We start from the raw sequence: 21,170 nt of genomic DNA, 5'->3' as shown, positions 1-21,170 counted from the left end.
AAAAAAAAAAATTAGCCTGGTGTGGTGGCACGCACCTGTAATTCCAGCTATTCGGGAGGCAGAGGCAGGAGAATCACTTGAACCTGGGAGGCAGAGGTTGCAGCGGGCCGAGATCGTGCCACTGCACTCCAGTCTGGGTAACAGAATGAGACTCCAGCTCAAAAAAAAAAAAAAAAAAAAAAAAACAGAAAGAAAGAATGCCATTCATTAGATTAGGAGCCACCCTAATCCAATATGACCTCCTATTGAGCACCTACAGTGTACCACGAACCATGCTGAGATTTGTTCACACATCATCTCATTTAAACCTCACAATGTCTTCAAATAAATGAGAAAACTGAGGTTCAGAGACCTAAGTAACGGGTGCCCCCAAATCCATTCAATCCCCTGAACATCTCCCAATGGTCTGCCTTGATTACGTCTGCAAAGACCGTATTTCCAAATACACATTCACACGTATACAGATTAGGACTTGAACTTTATTGTCTTTTCTAAGGGACAGGGTCTTACTCTGTTGCCCAGGCTGGAGTGCAGTGGCGCTATCAAAGCTCACTGCAGCCTCTACCTCCTCAGCTCAAGTGATCCTCCTGCCTCAGCATCCAGAATAGCTGGGACAACAGGTGCATGCCACCCTGCTTGGCTAATGAAAAAAAAAAAAATTTGTAGAGGCAGGGTCTCACTATGTTGCCCAGGCTGATCTTGAACTCCTGGCATCATGCACTCCTCCCACCTGGGCTGGGCCTCCCAAAGCACTGGGATTACAGGTGTGAGCCACCATGCCTGGCCTTGAACATTTTTTTTTTCTTTTTGAGACAAAATCTCACTCTGTCTCCCAGCCTAGACTGAGGTGGTGCTATCTCAGCTCACTGCAACCTCCATCTCCCAGGTTCAAGAGGTTCTCCTGCCTCAGCCTCCCAAGTAGCTGGGACTACAGGCACCCCTCACCTCGCCCAGCTAATTTTTGTATTTTTAGTAGAGACAGGATTTTATCACGTTGGCCAGGCTAGTCTCAAACTCCTGACTTCAAGTGATCCGCCCACCTCGGCCTCCCAAAGTGCTGGGATTACAGGCATGAGCCACTGCGCCCGGTCTGAACGTATTTTTTTGAGAGATACAACTGAACACAGTACAGAGACCTTATTTTCCTCTGACCAAAAGGAAGCCCCCAGGGGTCCAGCTGGCTGGAGAATAGGAAGGGAGGAAAGAACACTGACCTCAAAATCACAAAGGTGCAGAGTTCAAATCTTGGTTCTGCCACTAATTTGCTGCTTGGTGCTGGTCATTTCACTGCCCCTCTCTGGACCTCAGTTTTACCATTTGTTAAATAAATCTTTTATGGCTGGGTGCAGTGGCTCACGCCTATAATCCCAGCACTTTGGGAGGCCAAGGAGGGTGGATCACCAGAGGTCAGGAGTTCGAGACCAGCCTGGCCAACATGGTGAAACCCCGTCTCTACTAAAAATACAAAAATTAGCTGGGCATGGTGGCACATGTCTATAATCCCAGCTACTCGGGAGGCTGAGGCAGAAGAATCACTTGAACCCAGGAGGCGGAAGTTGCAGTGAGCCGAGATCGTACCACTGCACTCCAGCCTGGGAGACAGAGCGAGACTCCATCTCGAAAAAATAAATTTTAAAAAATGATAAAATAAAATAAATAAATCTTTTATCCCCTGGATGGAATTGCTGCACCTAAAATTAACAATGAAGAAGAAGGAGAAGGAGGAGGAGGAGGAGAAGAAGGAGAAGGAGAAGGAGGAGAAGGCAAGCACGGTAGCTCATGCCTGTAATCCCAGCACTTTCAGAGGCTGACGCAAGGGGGTTTGCTTGAGGCCAAGACTTCAAGTCCAGACTGGGCAACATAGTGAGACTCCATCTCTATTAAAAAAAAAAAAAAAGAAAAAAAGGAAAATGAAATTACTGAACTTTTAAGACGTAATGGATGTGGTTAGCATTTATTGAGCACCTACAGTGTACCAGGAACCATGCTGAGACTTTACACACATCATCTCATTTAAACCTCACAATAACTTCAAACAAATGAGGAAACTGAGGCTCAGAGACCTAAGTAATGGGTGCCCCCACATCCATTCAATCCCCTGAACATCTCTCAGTGATCTGCCTTTCTGTGCTCCATGGCATAGTATAAGTGTCATCATTTCTTGCTTGGATTCTAAAAAGGGCTTCCTTAGTTTTTCCCCTACCCAAATCTATCTCTTAAGCCAGAACGACTTTTTGCTAATAAAACTCTCTTTCATAAAGTTCTTCAGTGGCTCCCCATGACCCTCAAAATTAAGCTGGAATTCACAAGAAGGCTCTTCAGGCCCTACATGATCTAAGCCCAGCCAGACTCCATCCTCATCTCACCCTGCTCCCTTCTCCAGGTTAATACTTAATTCATCCTTCAAAATTTAGCTTAGATAGCCAGGTGCGGTGGCTCATGCTTGTAATCCCAGCACTTTGGGAGGCCGAGATGGGAGGATCACTTGAGGCCAGGAGTTCGAGACTAGCCTGGCCAACATGGTAAAACCCCATGTCTACTAAAAATACAAAAATTAGCCAGACGTGGTGGCGGGTGTCTGTAATCCCAGCTACTTGGGAGGCTGAGGCAAGAGAATCCCTTGAACTCAGATAGTGGAGGTTGCAGTAATCCGAGATTGCACCACTGCACTCCAGCCTGAGTGACAGAGTGAGACTGTCTCAAAAAAAAAAAAAAAGAAAAAAATCAGCTTAGATACCACTTCCACCAGGAAGTCTTCCTTGCCTGCCCCTCAGGTGTAAGTCGGGTCCACCTACTCAGTACTCCAAGAACACTCTGTTATCATAGCACTCAGCACAGTGTGGTTTTGTTGCCTGTTAAGTTGTCTCTCTCCCCCAGATGGCAGTGGGTATGCACAGAGCTTCACACATTGTGTCTCGTATTTACCAAATGCCCTGAGCCATTTATCACAAGTACATGGAGAAAGCTAGGACTGAAAGCCATTGCTCACTGACTCCAGGGACTGTGTTCTGTCTACTGTTCCACACGGGTGTTGCTGGAAACACAAGAATCTGTCTAGACTAGCAGGCCCCAGAGGGGCTAGGCCCAAGTGTACAAGGGCTTGGAATGGCAAACACATGCTTCCACTTTCCAAACCCACATCCATGGCAGACATTACTAATGGACCACCACATTTCTTCTCATTGATCCCAGGCTTAACACAGGGCCCCAGCCAGTCTCCATCAGTTGACTCAAACTTACAAGTAAGGAGCCAGGCAGGGTGGTACATGCTTATAATCCCAACTAGCTACTTGGGAGGCTGAGGCAGGATGATCACTTGAGCCCAGGAGTTTGAGACCAGCCTGGGCAACAGAGTGAGACCCCGTCACTACAAAATTAAAAATTTTTTAAATTAGCCAGGCAAATTGTTGTTGTTTTTAAATTATAGACAGGGCCTCAGCTTGCACCTGACATGAAATCTGTTTACCATTGTTATCTATTGCCCAATGACCCTGTTTTGTGGACCAGAAAAAATGAAGCTCTGTCTTTCCCAATATCACGTGCAAGTTCATGTGAAAGCAGAGACAGGCCCTCTCCACTCCCAGTTTGGTGTAATTTCACCGCCCCTCCTGGCATCTGGAGACAAGCTTCTTACGCTGTGTGGTCAGCCTACCCTCAGGACATCTAGAGAAAGAAGCTTTCTTGTGAAACTGGGCCAGTAGACTCATAGAAGACTCTAAGGACAAGAACACCTTCTAGAATGACGCAGGGGACTTCCTTAAGTTTCCTGGAGGCAAGCCAGGCATGGAGGCTCATGCCTGTAATCCCCAAACTTTGAGAGGCTGAGGTGAGAGGATCATCTGAGGTTAGGAGGTTGAGACCAGCCTTGGCAACATAGCAAGACCCCATCCTACAAAAAATAAAAAATTAGTCAAAAGTGGTGGGTGACCCTGTAGTTCCAGCTACTCAAGAGGCTGGGATGGGAAGGTCACTTGAGCCCGGGAGGTGGAGAGACCCTGAATCTAAAAATAAATGAATAAATCAATAAATACAATTTTAAAATTAAAATTGGCTAGGTATGGTGTCTCACTCCTATAATCCCAGCACTTTGGGAGGCCAAGGCGGGAGGGTACCTGAGGTCAGGAGTTCAAGACCAGCCTGGCCAATATGGTAAAACCCTGTCTCTACTAAAAATACAAAAATTAGCTGGGTGTGGTGGCCCATGCCTGTGATCCCAGCTACTCAGGAGGCTGAGGCAAGAGAATCGCTTGAACCCAGGAGGCGGAGGCTACAATGAGCCGAAATCATGCCACTGCACTCCAGCCTGGGCAACAGAGTGAGACCCTGTCTCAAAAAAAAAAAATCCTTTAAACTAAGAAACCAACATTGGTTCATTACTCTGAACTAAACTCTAGATCTTCTTCAGATTTCATCCATTTTTCTGGCCCAGGATCCCATCCGGAGTACTATGTTGCCTTGAGCACATTCTCTTTTTGATAAATACAGTTCCTGGATTACTCCCTTTCTCCTGCCATGTAATTCCTTCTCTCACTCAGAAATGAATTTGTCTGTTGTTTTGCTTTGGTCTGGCTCATCCCCTCTCCCCCATTTTACAAATTATAGTTTAGGGAAAAGTTTCACCTGATTCTATCTAATATTGTCAGCAGCCCTTGTCCACCACATTCATTTTTCCTCTTTCTGTTTTAAAATCTAGTTCACATCATCAAAATGGCCACTAGCACTTCCTGAAAAACTTGGCAACACATTTTACTGTATTTCAAAAAAAAAAAAAAGTTCTGCTTTTTTTTCCCCCGTCCCCCCACCCCAAACTTCGTTTGTTCTTTTATGACTAAGGATATTTATCTCCTGCTTGCTTTAGAAGTTTATGAGCTGCTTTTGCTTTGAATTCCAGGCCAAGGTCAGTCCTCCTTTTGTCATGATGTCACGGCCTGTTGCCGTGGTTACCCCTGTGACATCATCAGACCAATCTGGGGGCCTGCTGGGGCAGGGGGGAGAGGGGCTTTGAAACCGCTCCTTTCATCTGTCTTTGGTGAGGGCGGTGTTGCTGCTTTTTGTAAAAGTTTTTGAGAATGGCGAGACACTAAAGGGAAGAGTTAATAAGATTTACTACCCCCCAAAATGCCGCAGACCCCTAAAAGTCAGGCCACAATCAAAGGCTGCAGGCTTCTGAAGGGAAAAAGGCTAAAGGAATAAACGCATTTCCAAAAACCAGAACTCTGTATCTGTAAAAAGACCACCAGTATGCCACAAGGAGAAACACGCACGCCTGCACGCACACAGGCACACACACACACAATTGGCCCTCTCAACCAAATTGCCTCTAGATGGAATGTATTTCACGAGGTGTCCCTTGGTCTTTAATCTAATCTAATCTGTCTCTCCCTCAGCATAAAAGCAAAAGTAAAGAATCACAAACCAGGAATGCTTGGTTTGAAAGGCTTTTTAATAAAAGGAGAAAAGAAAAAGAACAAAAGCCGAGTGAACACTCAACAGACAGTTTTCATGTCACTAAAACAGCATCTTGAAAAATGTTAATCTTTTTTTTTTTCTTTTCCTTAGGGTCAGGGGAAGGGAAAAAAATGTGTTTTTATGGTGAACATGTGTCAAGAGGACTCCATCCCATAAACTCGGTGCCCACAATAAGTATATTTGTGTAGTAATTAATGTGAGATCAGAGACACAAGTTTTGCCAAAAGGCCATTGTCAGTATGGGGTACATTATTTAGGTCAAGAATCCAGTTTTCCAAATGTGGTATACATTGTGCTCGCTGTAATTAAGCGTTTTGTCATCTAACGACAAAGCGAGCAAGAGTGACTCCCAGACGGATTATACCTAAAACACAGTTTCCAAATGTTTCTTCTTGGCAAATCTTTTAAGGAAATTCTATGCAGAAGGAATGTCAAGACATCTGTAATTAGATCTGGGAGAAAAGGGTGGAAGGAAGATTACTGGGCTATTTTTTTTATTTTGTCTCTCAAAGAGACCCCCTGTAATTCCACGTCCTGGCTGTCAAGAGCCTTATCCATCACGGGTTCCTGGGTCATCTGTCTTTGCATTCACTTTCTTGCCGAGGTCTCCAGTAACACCCTTGCAATGCCAATTCTCCTCCAAGAAGTTTACTGCAAGCCGCTGTGAAGACAGAACGGACAGCGTCCAAAGTGCCTTGGGCCAGGCCCGTTCTTCGAACTCGGTAGATTTTGTTTCTGAAGGTTTCTGCTTTGTCATGCGCCTGGAGGTCTTATTAAGAAAGTAGAGGCCAGGCGCGGTGGCTCACGCCTGTAATCCCAGAACTTTGGGAGGCTGAGACGGGGGGATCATGATGTCAGGAAATCTAGACCATCCTGGCCAACATGGTGAAACCTCGTCTCTACTAAAAATACACAAATTAGCTGGGCGTGGTGGTGCGTGCCTGTAACCCCAGCTACTCGGGAGGCTGAGGCAGGAGAATCAATTGAACCAGGGAGTCGGAGGTTGCAGCGAGCCAAGATCACACCACTGCACTCCAGCCTGGTGACAGAGGGAGACTCTGTCTCAAAAAAAAAAAAAAAAAAAAATGCCGGGCGCAGTGGCTCACGCCTGTAATCCCAGCACTTTGGGAGGCGGGCGGATCACGAGGTCAGGAGATCGAGACCATCTTGGCTAACAGGGTGAAACCCCGCCTCTACTAAAAATACAAAAAATTAGCTGGGGATGGTGGCGGGCGCCTGTAGTCCCTGCTACTAGGGAGGCTGAGGCAGGAGAATGGCTGAACCCAGGAGGCGGAGCTTGCGGTGAGCTGAGATCATGCCACTGCACTCCAGCCTGGGCAACAGAGCGAGAGTCTGTCTCAAAAAAAAAAAAGAAAAAGAAAAAGAAAAGAAAGCAGAATGGAGTGCAGTTTGTAGGTCCCAGGGCTGCAATTTGGAAGACATTCATATTGCAAGGGAAATTGAAGAGGGAGCTAAAAGGATCCTTCCAGCACTGTGCATTTCAACTTTTTGGAGGGGCCGCAGCAGTAGGGGGGTGCATATTGGGGTGCATAGCCCCATCTGGGTCTGATGTTGGATGTTGGTTTGCATCTGTTTCTAGTTTTGTATGTTGGTATGGGTCTGCTTGTGCATGAATATGCTCCTGTACGCCTGTGGGTCTTTTGCATGTGTTTGCAAGCGTGTGATGCCTCGCTGTGCATGGGTCTGGGGGGGGGGGGTGCTGTCTCTGAGCATATTGCTGTGTGTGTTTCAAAGGCCGCTATGTGCTTGCCACACGCTCGGGGGCATTTATAACTTTATGTATGTGCATGAAAGAGCAACTGGGAAATATACTGCATTCATTATACTTTATACTCCCTTTTCCAACCAACAGGCTATCTGCAGACCTCTCAGCTCCTCATCACCCAAATACGATCTTAGGGGGTTCACAAAATAAAACAGGTCATAAATCTCAAGACTGGCTAGAACCTGGGGAGTTTTAGACAGAGAGAGGAGGGGGAAGGGCGGCAGGAGGGAAGTGGGTAAGAAGGGGTATTTTGATGAGGAATCTCTGCCCCTTCATGAAGCACTTCTCCGTGATGCCAACTTAGAGGCAATTTGCTCTTAGTACTAGGTGGGATCAGTCCAAGCGTTTGGGGATTTCTCCTCTCACTCGACCCCCTCCTCTTCTCCGTGCTAACAGCCAAGAACAGATGTGCCCCACTTTAATAATGCTGACCAGCTGGGGAGGCTGCAGCAAATGTCCACAGTTTTTTCCCCAAATGCTGATGTCTAAGGAGGCCTCTGGGATGAAGACAGGGGTCTCTCAGGCACATTTTGGGATCCTCCTGCTTCCAGAACCTTCCTCAGGTTTCCCTGAAAGAGGACACTAAAGAAAATATGGAATGCCTATAGTCTGTGCTTTTGGTATCCATGTGGCTGCATTGGTGTCCATTATGACCCAAGATGCTACAAGTGTAATATTCTGGGGTCCTCTGGACTGAGATGGGACCAGCATGCGTGAATAGGATTCAGGACAGAGCCGCGAAGCCACGCTTTCCATTAATTAATTAATTAATTAATTTTTAAAGGCAGGATCTTGCTTGTTGCCCAGGCTGGAGTGCAGTGGCACGATCATAGCTCACTGCAGCCTTGAACTCCTGGGCTCAAGTGATTCTCCCACCTCAGCTTCCTGAGTAGCTAGGACTACAGATGCACTCCACCATACTTGGCTAATTTTTTTTTTTTAAGTAGAGACGGAGGTCTCACTATGTTGCCCAGGCTGGTCTCAAACTACTAGGCTCAAGCCATCTTTCTGCCTCGGCCTCTCAGTGCTGGGATTACACATGTGAGCTACTGGGCTGACTCACTTTCCCTTTATTTTTATTTTTATTTTTTTTTAATAGAGAGACAGGGTCTCATCTCACTATGTTGCCCAAGCTGGTCTCGAATTTCTGAGCTGGAGTTCTCCCACCTCAGCCTCCCAAAGTGCTAGGATTACAGGCATGAGCCACCACACCCAGCCCCATTTTCCTTTTAAATGGCTGAAAAGAGGCAAGCTCTGATTGTCGCCCACGTAGATTATTTTTTCCCCTCCAGAAGATGAAAAGGGCCATTTGTTTGTAGAAGTCTCAACCTGGCATATTGGTCCATTTCATGTGTCAGTTTGCAGTTTTCTCTCCTCTGAAGGGCTGCTTGGGGAACACAAAGGCAGGAAATTCGATTCTACACAGGCCCCGTGACATCTCTGTTTGAGGGTGTGTGTGTGTGTGAGTGAGTGTGTGTTTGTATGGCGGCTGACAACGTGTTCTCTTCAATCAGATCATTGCTTCATGGTCTTATTGTCCCTGCAGCTTTAGAAACAGCTGGGGGGATTCTGTAAGAATCATTTGAATAAAACTTCTCATAAACTGTCCACTACAGAGTTTGGGAAGATAAACCTGTACTGTTAGGATTTTTTTTTTTTAAGACAGTCTGTGCTGATTTTCCAAATGTATTTCTTTAATATATGTGCTCCTCTCAGCACATATATTCCTTTTTTTTTTTTTTTTTTTTTTTTTTTTTTTGTAGAGACAGAGTCTCGCTCTGTCACCCAGGCTGGAGTGCAGTGGTGAGATCTCGACTCACTGCAACGCCTGCCTACCGAGTTCAAACAATTCTCCTGCCTCAGCCTCCCAAGTAGTTGGGAACACAGACATGCACCACCACACCTGGCTAGTTTTTTTGTATTTTTAGTAGAGAGGGGGATTTGCCATGTTGGTCAGGCTGGTCTCAAACTCCTAACCTCAAGAGATCCGCCCGCCTTGGCCTCCAAAAGTGCTAGAATTACAGGTGTGAGCCACTGCGCTAGCTTCAGCACACATCTGCTTCTAATTCAGGTGCAACATACACAGAAAACTACACACATAACATATGCATACCTAGCATTCAGATTAAAAAGAAACAGACATCCCCAGAAGTCCCCACAGTGTCTCCTTCCAGTCAATATGCACTAGGATAAAGCAACCACTCTCCTGACATCTAACAGAATCGATTAGCTCTGCATATTTTTGTGCTTTTCATCAACAGAACCACACAACATCACACTTGAGTAGCTGGCTTCTTTCCTTCAAAATTAAGTGTGTGAGGCCCGGCATGGTGGCTCACACCTGTAATCCCAGCACTTTGGGAGGCTGAGGTGGGTGGATCACCTGAGGTCAGGAGTTCAAGACCAGCCCAGCCAACATGGTGAAACCCCATCTCGACTAAAAATATAAAAAAATTAGCCGGGTATGGTGGCAGGCACCTGTAATCCCAGCTACTTGGGAGGCTGAGGTAGAAGAATTGCTTGAACCCGGGAGGCAGAGGTTGCTGTGAGTCGAGATTGCCCCACTGTACTCCAGCCTGGGTGACAGAGCTAGACTGCCTCAAAAAAAAAAAAAAAAAAAAAAAAGTAAAAAATGGGCTGATTCAGTAGTATCTCGTTATTACCAAAAGTATCTCATCAATACTGAAAAAAAAAAATTAAGCACGTGAGATTCACCACATTGCTCTATGTATTTGTAGATCGATGACTTTTCAACTGGGATTCATTGTGTGCGTCAGGGGATGTTAGACAACGTCTGGAGACATTTTTGGTTGTCACAACTGGGGGTGCATCTAGTGGATGCAGACCAAAAATGCTGCACAACATCTTACAAGGCCCAGGACAGCCTCCCTCCCCGCCGCCCCCCGCCACACACAAATTACCCAGCCCCAAATTTTAATAATGCAGAGATAAAAAATTCCAGTTTGGATCCATCATTGTCCTGGCTGTGCTTTGATTCCTCTGAAACACCATTTTTAATACTTCCTGGATGCCTAGGCAGGCACAGTGGAGTTAGCCTGAACTTCAAGTTCAAAGCTTCAGCTCAGAGGCAAGTTTACTGACCTCTAGTTTTATCCCCGAGGTGGGGGCAGGGAGGGTGGAAGGGTATTGGGATTGGATGGGAAGATGGAAGGGAGCAAAGGAGGGTCTTTCCCTAATGGTTTCTTAATCTCGTCTGGTGATGAATTTGACCTTAGAAGGACGTTGCAAGCCACATCTGCCTCTCTGGCAAGCAGGGGAAGGAAATGACAGAAAAGTTCTTACAGAGCCACACCGATGTACACAGACATAAACAGACAACCGCACAAGTCCAAACAGACACCCCCCACAGCTCTGAACACACACATACACACGCACGCACACACGCACGCGCACACACACACACGCACGCACACACACACGCACGCACATACATACTCACCAGCCAACACCCGGCCACACAGCAGGCCCCAGAGACACACGCTAGAGGAGAAAAGAAACACCAACACTGTCCTTAAAGGGGCCTCTCTCCACATCCAGCTATTTAAAGAAATAGTTAAGCCGGCCAAGTTCAAGGAAACCCAGCCAGCGCAATGACCACGTCTGTCTTGTTCTGTCTTGTCGTATAACGCTTGGGCCTTGTCGTATAACACTTGGGCCTAAACTCAGGGTTTCTCCACCTCAGCACTCTTGATATTTCCAACTGGGTAATTCTTTGTTATAGGAGCCGGCCTGTGCATTGCAATATATTTAACAGTATCTTTGACCTCTACAAACTAGATGCACCCCAAGTTGTGTCAACCAAAATTGTCTCTAGATATTGCACAATGTCACCTGGGGACATCACCCCTAGTTGAGAACTACTGACCTAGCACTGCAGTGGGCTTATAGAAGCATCCTCCAAATGAATTTTTTTTTTTTTTTTTTTGACAGAGTCTTGCTCTGTTACCCAGGCTGGAGTGGAGTGGCACGATCATGGCTCACTGCAGTCTTGACCTCCCAGGCTCAAGCAATCCTCCCACCTCAGCCTCCCTAGTGGCTAGGACCACAGGCCTGTGACGCCACGCCTGGCTAATTTTTTAAAGTTTTTGTAGAATTGGGGTCTCACTATGTTGCCCAGGCTGGTCTTGAACTCCTGGGGCCAAGGAATTCATCCTCCTCAGCCTCCCAAAGTGCTGGGATTACAAATGTGAGCCACCATCCGTAATCCCAGCCCCACATGAAATATGTGTTGATTCAATCAATGAGCCACTCTCATTCCTTCTTGAAAATAAATGGGGACCAGCTACAGTGGCTCACGCCTTTGGGAGCACTTTGGGAGGCCGAGGCAGGTGGATCACCTGAGCCCAGGAGTTCGAGAACAGCCTGGCTAACGTGGTGAAACCCTGTCTCTACTAAAATACAAAAATTAGCCAGGCATGGGGGCGGATGCCTGTAATCCCAGCTACTCAGGAGGCTGAGGCAGGAGAATCGCTTGAACCCAGGAGGTGGAGGTTGCAGTGAGCCAAGATGGTGCCACTGCACTCCAGCCTGGGTGACAGAGCCAAACTCCATCTCAAAAAAAAAGAAATGGGCTCCTAAGAAGAGTCAGCTGATCTCTCCTCTTCAGCATCGACATACATCAAGAGTTAAAAAGAAAACAAAGTCGGGCACGGTGGCTCACGCCTGTAATTCTAACACTTTGGGAGGCAGAGGCTGGCGGATCACTTGAGATCAGGAGTTTGAGACCAGACTGGCCAAAATGGTGAAACCCCATCTCTACTAAAAATACAAAAAAAATTGGGCAGAGTGGCACACGCCTGTAGTCCCAGCTATTCAGGAGGCTGAGATAGAAAAATTGCTTGAACTCAGGAGGCAGAGAGTGCATTGAGCCAAGATCATGCCATTGCACTCCAGCCTGGGCAACAAGAGTGAAACTCCATCTCAAAAAAAAAACAAAACAAAACAAAAACAAAAAAAACAAGGCCAGACGTGGTGGCTCACAGCCGTAATCCCAGCACTTTGGGAGTCTGAAGCGGGGAGATCACCTGAGGTCAGGAGTTCGAGACCAGCCTGACCAACATGGAGAAAACCCCGTCTCTACTAAAAACACACAAAAAATAGCCGAGCATGGTGGCGGGCACCTGTAATCCCAGCTACTCAGGAGGATAAGGCAGAAGAATCGCTTAAATCCAGGAGGTGGAGGTTGCGGTGAGCTGAGATCGCGCCGTTGCACTCCAGCCTGGGCAACAAGAACGAAACTCCATCTCAAAAAAAAAAAAAAAAAAAAAAAAAAAAAAAAAAATTGGAGATAGGTCCTAGGCTTCTTCCTCTACCTGGAATCCCAGCCTCTGAGACTAAGGCTTATGCTGGATTCTGCCTGGGTGGGGGCCATCTCTGCCATCAATGACGACTCTTGAAGAAGCAGCCCCCAGAGAGATGCCTACGCCACATGTGCTCTGTCATTTGATTGACGGACATGAATGCACTTTTCCGGACGCTGATTGGGTTTTAATTGTGTTTGGAACATTGTGCTCCCCACGCACCAGCTGAATTTGCTTCTGCATTCAGAAATGTTTTCACCTTCTCTTTTCTCTGGTGTGTCTGCCATGCTGCAGTTGGTGGCAGTGAGAAGGGCGATTGGGACCAGACAGTGCATCTGTGGAATTTTCCACACATTAGCCAAACCGGATCTGGAGCTTTCTTTGTTTTTACCCCTCTCCCCCGAGGACATATGAGTCTGGAAACAGGCTGGGAAGTGGGACTTCTGGCAGACTTAGCTGTAGGCTTAGGTGTCTACTGTCTGCATGTGGGAGGTAGGTCAGCCTTCTACCATCATCTCCAGCAACTGAAGGTCATACAGTCATTCAGCAAACATCCTCCAAATGACAGAGCATATCAGGCACTGAGGTTACAGAGATAATATACCTGTTTCTGGCTTTCACGTAGCAAGAGAAAGACTACAACAGCTCATTCAAGCATTTATTTTCAGGTAGTCTTCTGTACACTTTATAAATACTCACCCAATGAATCATAAAAATAACCCTATAAAATAGGTTTTGTTTTTTTTTTTTTCTTTTTTGTTGAGACAGAGTCTCACTCTATTACCCACTCTGGAGTACAGTGCTGCGATCTCGGCTCGCTGCAACCTCCACCTTGCGGGTTCAAGTGATTCTCCTGCCTCAGCCTTCCAAGTAGCTGGGACTACAGGCGAGCGCCACAATGCCCAGCTAATTTTTGTATTTTTTTGTAGAGACAGGATCTTACCATCTTGGCCAGGCTGCCCTCAAACTCCTGACCTCAAGTGATCCACCCGCCTCGCCCTCCCAAAGTGCTAGAATTACAGGCGTGAGTCACCACGCCCAGCTAGGAGTATTTTTTAACAGCTTTATTGAGAAATAGATATACAAAGAATGGGATATATTTATTTATTTTATTATTATTATTTTTTAAAATAGAGATAAGTTCTCACTATTTTGCCCAGGCTAGTCTTGAATTCCTGTGCTTAAATGATCCTCCTGTCTCGGCCTCCTAAAGTGCTAGGATTACAGGCGTGAGCTACTGCGCCTGTATATATCCAAAACTGGATATATTTAACGTGTGTAAGTTTGATGAGTTCAAATGTGTGTGGACACCCGTGCTACCACCATCACATTCAAAGTAATAGACATATCCAACACCTTCCTAAGTGTCCTGTGTGCTTTTGTTTTTGTTATTGTTTTTTGTTTGCTTTTCCTGTGATAAGAACATTTAACATGAGATCTACCCTCCTATCATATTTTGAAGTTCACAATACTGTATTAACTATAGCACAATGTTGTACAGAAGAGCTCTGGATCTTACTCATCTTGCATGACTGAAACTTTATATCCACTGAACAACACCTCTCCATTTTCCCCACCCCCAGCTCCTGGCAGCCACTTTGCTTGTTTATTTGTTTGTTTGTTTGTTTTTGTAAGATATAGGATCTCACTTTGTTGCCCAGGCTGGAGTGCAGTGGTGCAAACATGACTCACTGCAGCCCCAACCTCCTGGGTTCAAGCGTTCCTCCCACCTACGCCTCCCAAGTAGCTTAGGGACCACCAGTTAAATTTTTTTATTTTTTCTTTTTTGTAGAGATGGTCTCTCCCTGTGTTGCCCAGGCTGGTCTCAGGCTCCTGGGCTGAAGCGATCCTCCTGCCTTGGCCTCTCGAAGTGCTAGGATTACAGCTGTGAGCCACCACGCCTAGCCAAAAACTTCATTCTTTTTCTTCATCACCTTTTTATATTTTTTTCTGTATGATCAATGTTACTTTTTTTCCAGTTTTATTTGACAAACACTGGGAGAATAGGTTTCTCTGTTTCCATCCTGTCTAGACCATGGACTCATTTTGGTAAATCATGAAACAATCATCATGAATCTAGATCTGGCTCTAAGCTTCAGGTTCACAGCACACCCGACCACAGACTCTCTCCACATAGCTTTAGACCTCACCCTAGAGCACGGACTTTGCGGCTATAAGGCAGAGAAAACTCCCCTAAGACAAAACTGGAGCATGGGCCAGGCACGGTGGCTCACGCCTATAATTCCAGCACTTTGGGAGGCTGAGGCGGGAGGATCACTTGAGATTAGGAGTTCAAGACCAGCCTCACCAACGTGGTGAAACCCTATCTATACTAAAAAAAAAATCCACAAAATTAGCCGGGTGTGGTGGCACATGTCTGTAATCCCAGCTACTTGGGAGGCTGAGGCAGAAGAATTGTTTGAATCTGGGCGGTGGAGGTTGCAGTGAGTTGAGATCGCACCATTGCACTCCAGCCTGTGCAACAAGAGCGAAACTCTGCCTTAAAACAAACGAACAAACAAACAAAACAAAACAAAAAAACTGGAGCATGGTTCAACTCAAAAGCATCCCATGATTCTAGTTACAAAGCAGCGTTCTCAAGGGTGCAAGTTCTAATGCTACAGAATGTTTCTTCTTGGTAAACATTTCTGGAATCAAGATTTAACCACTGGCCACCGAAGAAATGCCCCCTGGAAGAATCTGACTCAGTCCGTCATTTGCCAGCCCTGCATCTATTATGACCTGTGCAATAACAAGGGTTTACAAAGATGCCCCACTGCCCTCCCTTTATTTGGGTTAAATGGACATAAATTGTGAAGGCCTCTCTGCTGGAGACTGGGAATTCACAGAAGGAATTCCTAGTCCCTGCACTGTGGAGCTCAGCACTGACTCCATTTGCAAATAAACAAGTCCTTCCAATTTTCTAGCACTTTACAAAGTAGGAAGCATCTGCCAGACAGAGGCAAGAGTTGAACAAGAAGCCAAGTCTAGCATGAAGGAGTCCAAATGTATCTCCTAAACCAAGAGGCCAGACCACACAATAAGAAAAGTTAGGGGCCGGGGGCAATGGCTCATGCCTGTAATTCCAGAACTTTGGGATGCTGAGGCAGGTGGATCTCCTGAGGTCAGGAGTTTGAGACCAGCCTGGCCAACATGGTGAAACCCTGTCCCTACTAAAAGTACAAAAATTATCCAGGTGTGGTGTCACACACCTGTAATCACAGCTACTCAGGTGGCTGAGGCATGAGAATCGCTTGAACCTAGGAGGCGGAGGTTGCAGTGAGCTGAGATCACACCATTGCACTCCAGCCTGGGTGACACAGTGAGATTCTGACTCAAAAAAAAAAAAAAAAAAAAAAAAGTTAGGAGCAGGGATTGGAGACATAAGAGACCGGTGAGATCTGGGAAGTTAGAGTCATAGGTGAAGGCAATGCCCAGAACAGGCCTAGCTGTAATGAGAATGTTTTGGATGCTATGCCTAAACCACTGCTTAGCTGATGCAACACCCAGTCCCAGCATCCCTCTCCCTTCCTGCCGCCTACCATGAGTCTAAAAAATGAAAGATTCACCTTCCTGGCCTCTTGGCAGTTACAGTTGACCATGTTGCAGAGTTTGAGCTAATAAAATAAAGTCTTGCTCCATCGCCCAGGCTGGAGTGCAGTGGTATGATCTCGGCTCACTGCAACCTCCACCTCCCGTGTTCAAGTGACCCTCCCATCTCAACCTCCTGAGTAGCTGGGATTACAGGCACTCGCCATCATACCCAGCTAATTTTTTGTATTTTTTGTTTTTTAAATACAGACGGGGTTTTGCCATGTTGGCCAGACTGGTCTTGAACTTCTGACCTCAAGTGATCTGCCCTCCTCAGCCTCCCAAAGCTCTGGGATTACAGACATGAGCCACCACACGTGGCCAAGTTTTGATTTCTTATAAAGGAGAAATGCTGAAGAGGAAAGCCTTCTTTCTGGTGCCACTCCTTTGTCTTAATGGCAGAGATGTGATGCCTGGAGCTTAGTCAGACATCATTGAACAAGAGGCAAGCATGAGAATAACAAGAGAAAATACTGAAGACGGTGGAAGTGTAATAGAGAAAACTGGGATGCTGGTGACCTCACAGGGCAGCAGCCCACCTCTGGACTACTCATCATGTGAGAAAGATAGGCCCCTCGTCATTTAAATGACTGTCAACTGGATTTTCTGCTACCAAAAGCCGGGTGTGGTGGCCCACGCCTGTAATCCCAGCATTTTGGGAGTCTGAAGCAGGAGGATCACTTGGGGTCAGGAGTTTGAGACCAGCCTGGCCAACATAGTGAAACCCTGTCTCTACTAAAAATATAAAAATTAGCCGGGCGTGGTGGCCCGTGCCTATAATCCCAGCTACTTGGGAGGCTGAGGCATGAGAATTGCTTGAACTCGGGAGGTGGAGGTTGCAGTGAGCAGAGATTGTGCCACTGCACTCCAGCCTGGGTGACAGAGCGAGACTCTGTCTCAAAAAAAACAATAACAAAAACAAAAACCTTCTGAGCGTATTTGAATTTCCATCTTGCTAAACAGAGTTGTGGGTGGGGTGGAGCACCTTTGTTGGATAGGCTGTGGGTAGGAAGCAAATGTCATCTGATAAAAGTGTTGGCAACTAAGCTGAGAGGTGTTTGTGAACAACTGGAAATAAGCTACCTATACAACTGCAGGGGGCGGGTATTAGCTAAAGCCTGGTGTGTCATAAAATTTCAATTCAATTTAATTTTATTTTTTTTGAGGCAGGGTCTCACTTTGTGCCTAGGCTGCAGTGCAGTGGCACGATCGTGGCTCACTGCAGCCTTGACCTCCTGGGCTCAAGGGATCTTCCTGCCTCGGCCTCCCAAGTAGCTGGAACTACAGGAGCACACCACCACACCCAGCTAACTTTTAAATTCTTTATAGAGACGAAGCTTGACCATGTTGTCCAGGCTGGTCTTGAATTCCTGGGCTCAAGCAATTTACCCACTTTGGCCTCCCAAATTAATTGCTGGGCCTATAGGCATGAGCCACTGAGCCTGGCCCATGATGCCTCCTGACAGTGGAACACAACTGAGCTCCTGGTGTAGAGACAGATTTATTGGCATGGAGAAGCACATTCTATATTGCTAAGCTTTGTAAAAGCAGGTTAGCAAACAATCTGAAAAGAGAGATCTAGAAAGGTGTTCACTGGGGCTGGGTGCGGTGGCTCATGCCTGTAATCCCTACACTTTGGGAGGCCGAGGCTGGCAGAGCACGAGGTCAGGAGATCGAGACCACCCTGACTAACATGGTGAAACCTCATCTCTACTAAAAATACAAAAAATTGGCCGGGCGTGATGACAGGTGCCTGTAGTCCCAGCTACTCGGGAGGCTGATCCAGGAGAATGGCGTGAACCCGGGAGGTGGAGCTTGCAGTGAGCCAAGATTGCGCCACTGCACTCCAGCCTGGGCAGCAGAGCGAGACTCCGTCTCAAAAAAAAAAAAAAAAAAAAAAGGTGTTCACTAGGAGGTCAATAGTGGGTACAATTTGGGTTTTTATTGTTCTTGTTATTTCTGTATTATTTAAATATATTAGAGGCTGGGCGTGGTGGCCCATGCCTGTAATCCCAGCACTTTGGGAGTCCAAGGTGGGTGGATCACTTGAGGTCAGGAGTTCGAGACCAGTCTGGCCAACATGGCGAAACCTTGTCTCAACCAAAAATACAAAAATAAATGGAGCATGGTGGCATGCACCTGTTAAGTCCCAGCTACTCAGGAGGCTGATGCAGGAGAATCACTTGAACTTGGGAGGCAGAGGTTGCAGTGAGCTGAGATCACACCACTGCACTCTAGCCTAGACAAGAGTGAGAGACTCCATCTCAAAATATACATATAAATAGATAGATAAATATACTATGTGTAGAATATATTATAATATTATATATGTATATGTATATGATTTACCTGATAAATAGAACCATTGACAGTATATGTGATATGTGCCTGGTACAGTGGCTCATACTTGTAATCCCAGCACTTTGGGAGGTTGAGGTGGGAGGATCTCTTGGGCTCAAGAGTTCAAGACCAGCCTGGGCAACAGTGAGCAAGACCCCATCTCTACCAAAAAAAAAAAAAAATTAATTAGCCAGGCATGGATATGCACACCTGTAGTCCCATAGTGGTGCACACCTGTAGTCAGGAGGCCAAGGTGGGAAGATCACTTGCGCCCAGGAGCTCAAGGTTACAGTGAGGTATGATCACACCACTGCACTCCAGCCTGGGTGACAGAGTGAGATCCCATCTAAAAGAACAAAAAAGCAAGCTGGACTTCGCGGCTCACACCTGTAATCCCAGCACTTTGGAAGGCCAAAGTGGGTGGATCGCTTGAGCCCAGGATTTCGAGACCAGCCTGGGCAACATAGTCAGCTCTTGTCTCCTTAATAAATAAATAAGTAAATAAATGCAAAAAAGTATATGCGATACAATCTTATTTTCATTTAAAATGCATATACCATACACAGAAGAAGACTAGAAAGATATATGGTAAACTATGAATGGTTAGCCCTATGTAATGGGATTACAGGTGATTTTCATTTTCTTCTTTTTCCTTATCTGCCTTTTCTACTTCTCCTATAATGAATATATATTACTTGTTTAATTTTTCAAGTGTTGTTGTTTAAGAGCTGCTCCTCTTATTATGTTTGCCAAAGCCTCAGAGCCTCCATTGGGAAATACGTTAATCCAGTCAAGATCTTCTTGTCCTGGAAACAAACTCCAGGGCTGGTCTACTGTGATTTTAAGTATCTAGGAGGATATGAAATTAGGGGAGGGTGGGAGTCCCCCATTTTCTGGTCATTGTCAATTTTATAAAGATGGCAGCCTAAGGAACTCCCTAAACTACTTGATCCAGCCAGTTGGTGTTGCCTTTAAACTTCAAAGCCAAAGAGGGGGTGATAAGTGGGAAATCCCACTTTCTGATACCAGTGATAAGAAATTCTCCTGCTCTTCTCCTTCCAGATAAATAACGCTGACCCACCACCCTCCATGCAGCCCCTCTTGGAAGAAGAGTCATAAAAATATGGCAGGCAAAAGCATCTGTAAAAGGATGACAGGATGACATAATGCCAGGAAAATTTACAATCGATTTAGCAGACAGAGGTGGCTGTCAGTCTGGGGGCTCTCCAGAGTTCAAGCATGCCCATAAAAGAACTCAACAACCCAAAGACTCTACTGCGAGGAAGAGATCTCCCTGCAAATCCACCTGTCACTGGTGAGCAGAAATTCCCTGAGGGAGCGGGAACTGGTGTATCTGTGTCTGGAACAGCCAAGGATGGAAAGAGGAAGACCCCTGGAGTGGACAAAGGGGACTTCTCCAGTGATTTAGGGCTCTGGATCTCCCCCCAGCAAAAGTCCTTCTGGTGCCCTAGGGGTCTTGAAAAAGTCGGCCCACAGAGGGACAACCATGGAAAACGAAACTCGAGGGGCTTGGGGTGGGAGGGAGTGTCGAGGCCCAGTTGCTGCTGTCTGGTAGAGCTAACACACAGGCCCCAAACATGCGTGACCTCTGGTTCACATCAGCACTGCTGATCAAAAGCAAGCAGCTCACTCCACCTGGCCCAGGCCTCCCCATCCAGGGAGGATTCAAAGCTACTGGCTTCATGGCTGGTGTGGCTTCCATTAACCCAGAGGTTGGTGTTGCGGACTTCGAGAAAAGTTGAACATCAAACGTAATGAATCATGAGAAACCAATAGCTTGGGCCAGCCCAGTGACCTTTTAAAGAAAGATAATATTACTTAAAACGAACATAGCCGTGGAATCATTAAGATAAACAGTATCGGTTCGAACTCACTTCAATTTCAACTGCAGACAGCTGTCTGGGAAGACTTGTAGGTGCCGTTTTCCTCACCGTGGTTTGTCTAGCCCCTATCTTGCTAAGTCGAGCGCGTGTCTTTCGCTGGCCCCTAGATAAATAGCAAGGAAGATGCCATGCTGGGGATTAGGAGCACTGCAATTGCTGAAGAGAGTATTTTCCATCGTGAGATCTTTGTATGTCCAAAGAATTTCCGGCATCAAAACCAATGAACTGCTCATCTTGCTTTCCTGCCCACTGTTAGGTACACAAATAAGTATCAATAGCCCTGCCCCAGCATCCCCTGGGGTTCTAAAATATCACAGACAACCCAAAGGATAGTGTGTGTGTGAGTGTGAGTATGTGAGTGTGTGTGTGCGTGTGTGTGCATGCTCATGCTCACGTGCCATCCTTGTATTTTTATATATACATGCTTTCTGCATTGTCCAAACATTTGCATACAAGTAGACATGGGGTATTTTGTGATGCAGACAGAATCCTCACTTCAAGAAATCAGATCAGTTTCAGGCAATTCCCGGGTTCAGCGAGAGGCCAGTCTACCCAGAAACGTAAACCAGTTCCAGCCAGGGTGAGGTGAATGCTCACTAGACAGACGTATTGGCCCCACATAGGTTCAGCTCAAACGCACACACTGAAGTACACGCACACACACACACATGCACGCATGCATGCACACACTAATTTTGTGCTTAGCTGTCATAAAACTTAAGACACTTATATGAGGGTGAAAGGTCAGGAGGGGGAAGC

General features: G+C 46.3%; 1 long non-coding RNA gene across 1 annotated transcript in view; it reads right to left on the bottom strand.

Annotated features, from left to right (window-relative positions):
* Nucleotides 1-5,425: 5,425 nt before the first annotated feature.
* The window catches only part of TBX3-AS1 (TBX3 antisense RNA 1), an 85,697-nt gene continuing 69,952 nt past the window's right edge, over nucleotides 5,426-21,170 (bottom strand). The window contains exon 2 of the long non-coding RNA NR_187552.1: nucleotides 5,426-6,130. This is a non-coding gene — a long non-coding RNA (TBX3 antisense RNA 1). The remainder of the gene's footprint in view (nucleotides 6,131-21,170) is intronic.

Source organism: Homo sapiens, chromosome 12 (assembly GCF_000001405.40).
Source record: "Homo sapiens chromosome 12, GRCh38.p14 Primary Assembly".
Classification (NCBI taxonomy): domain Eukaryota; kingdom Metazoa; phylum Chordata; class Mammalia; order Primates; family Hominidae; genus Homo; species Homo sapiens.
Note: the sequence above shows the minus strand (reverse complement) of the source record. Positions and strands in the feature narration are given on the sequence as shown.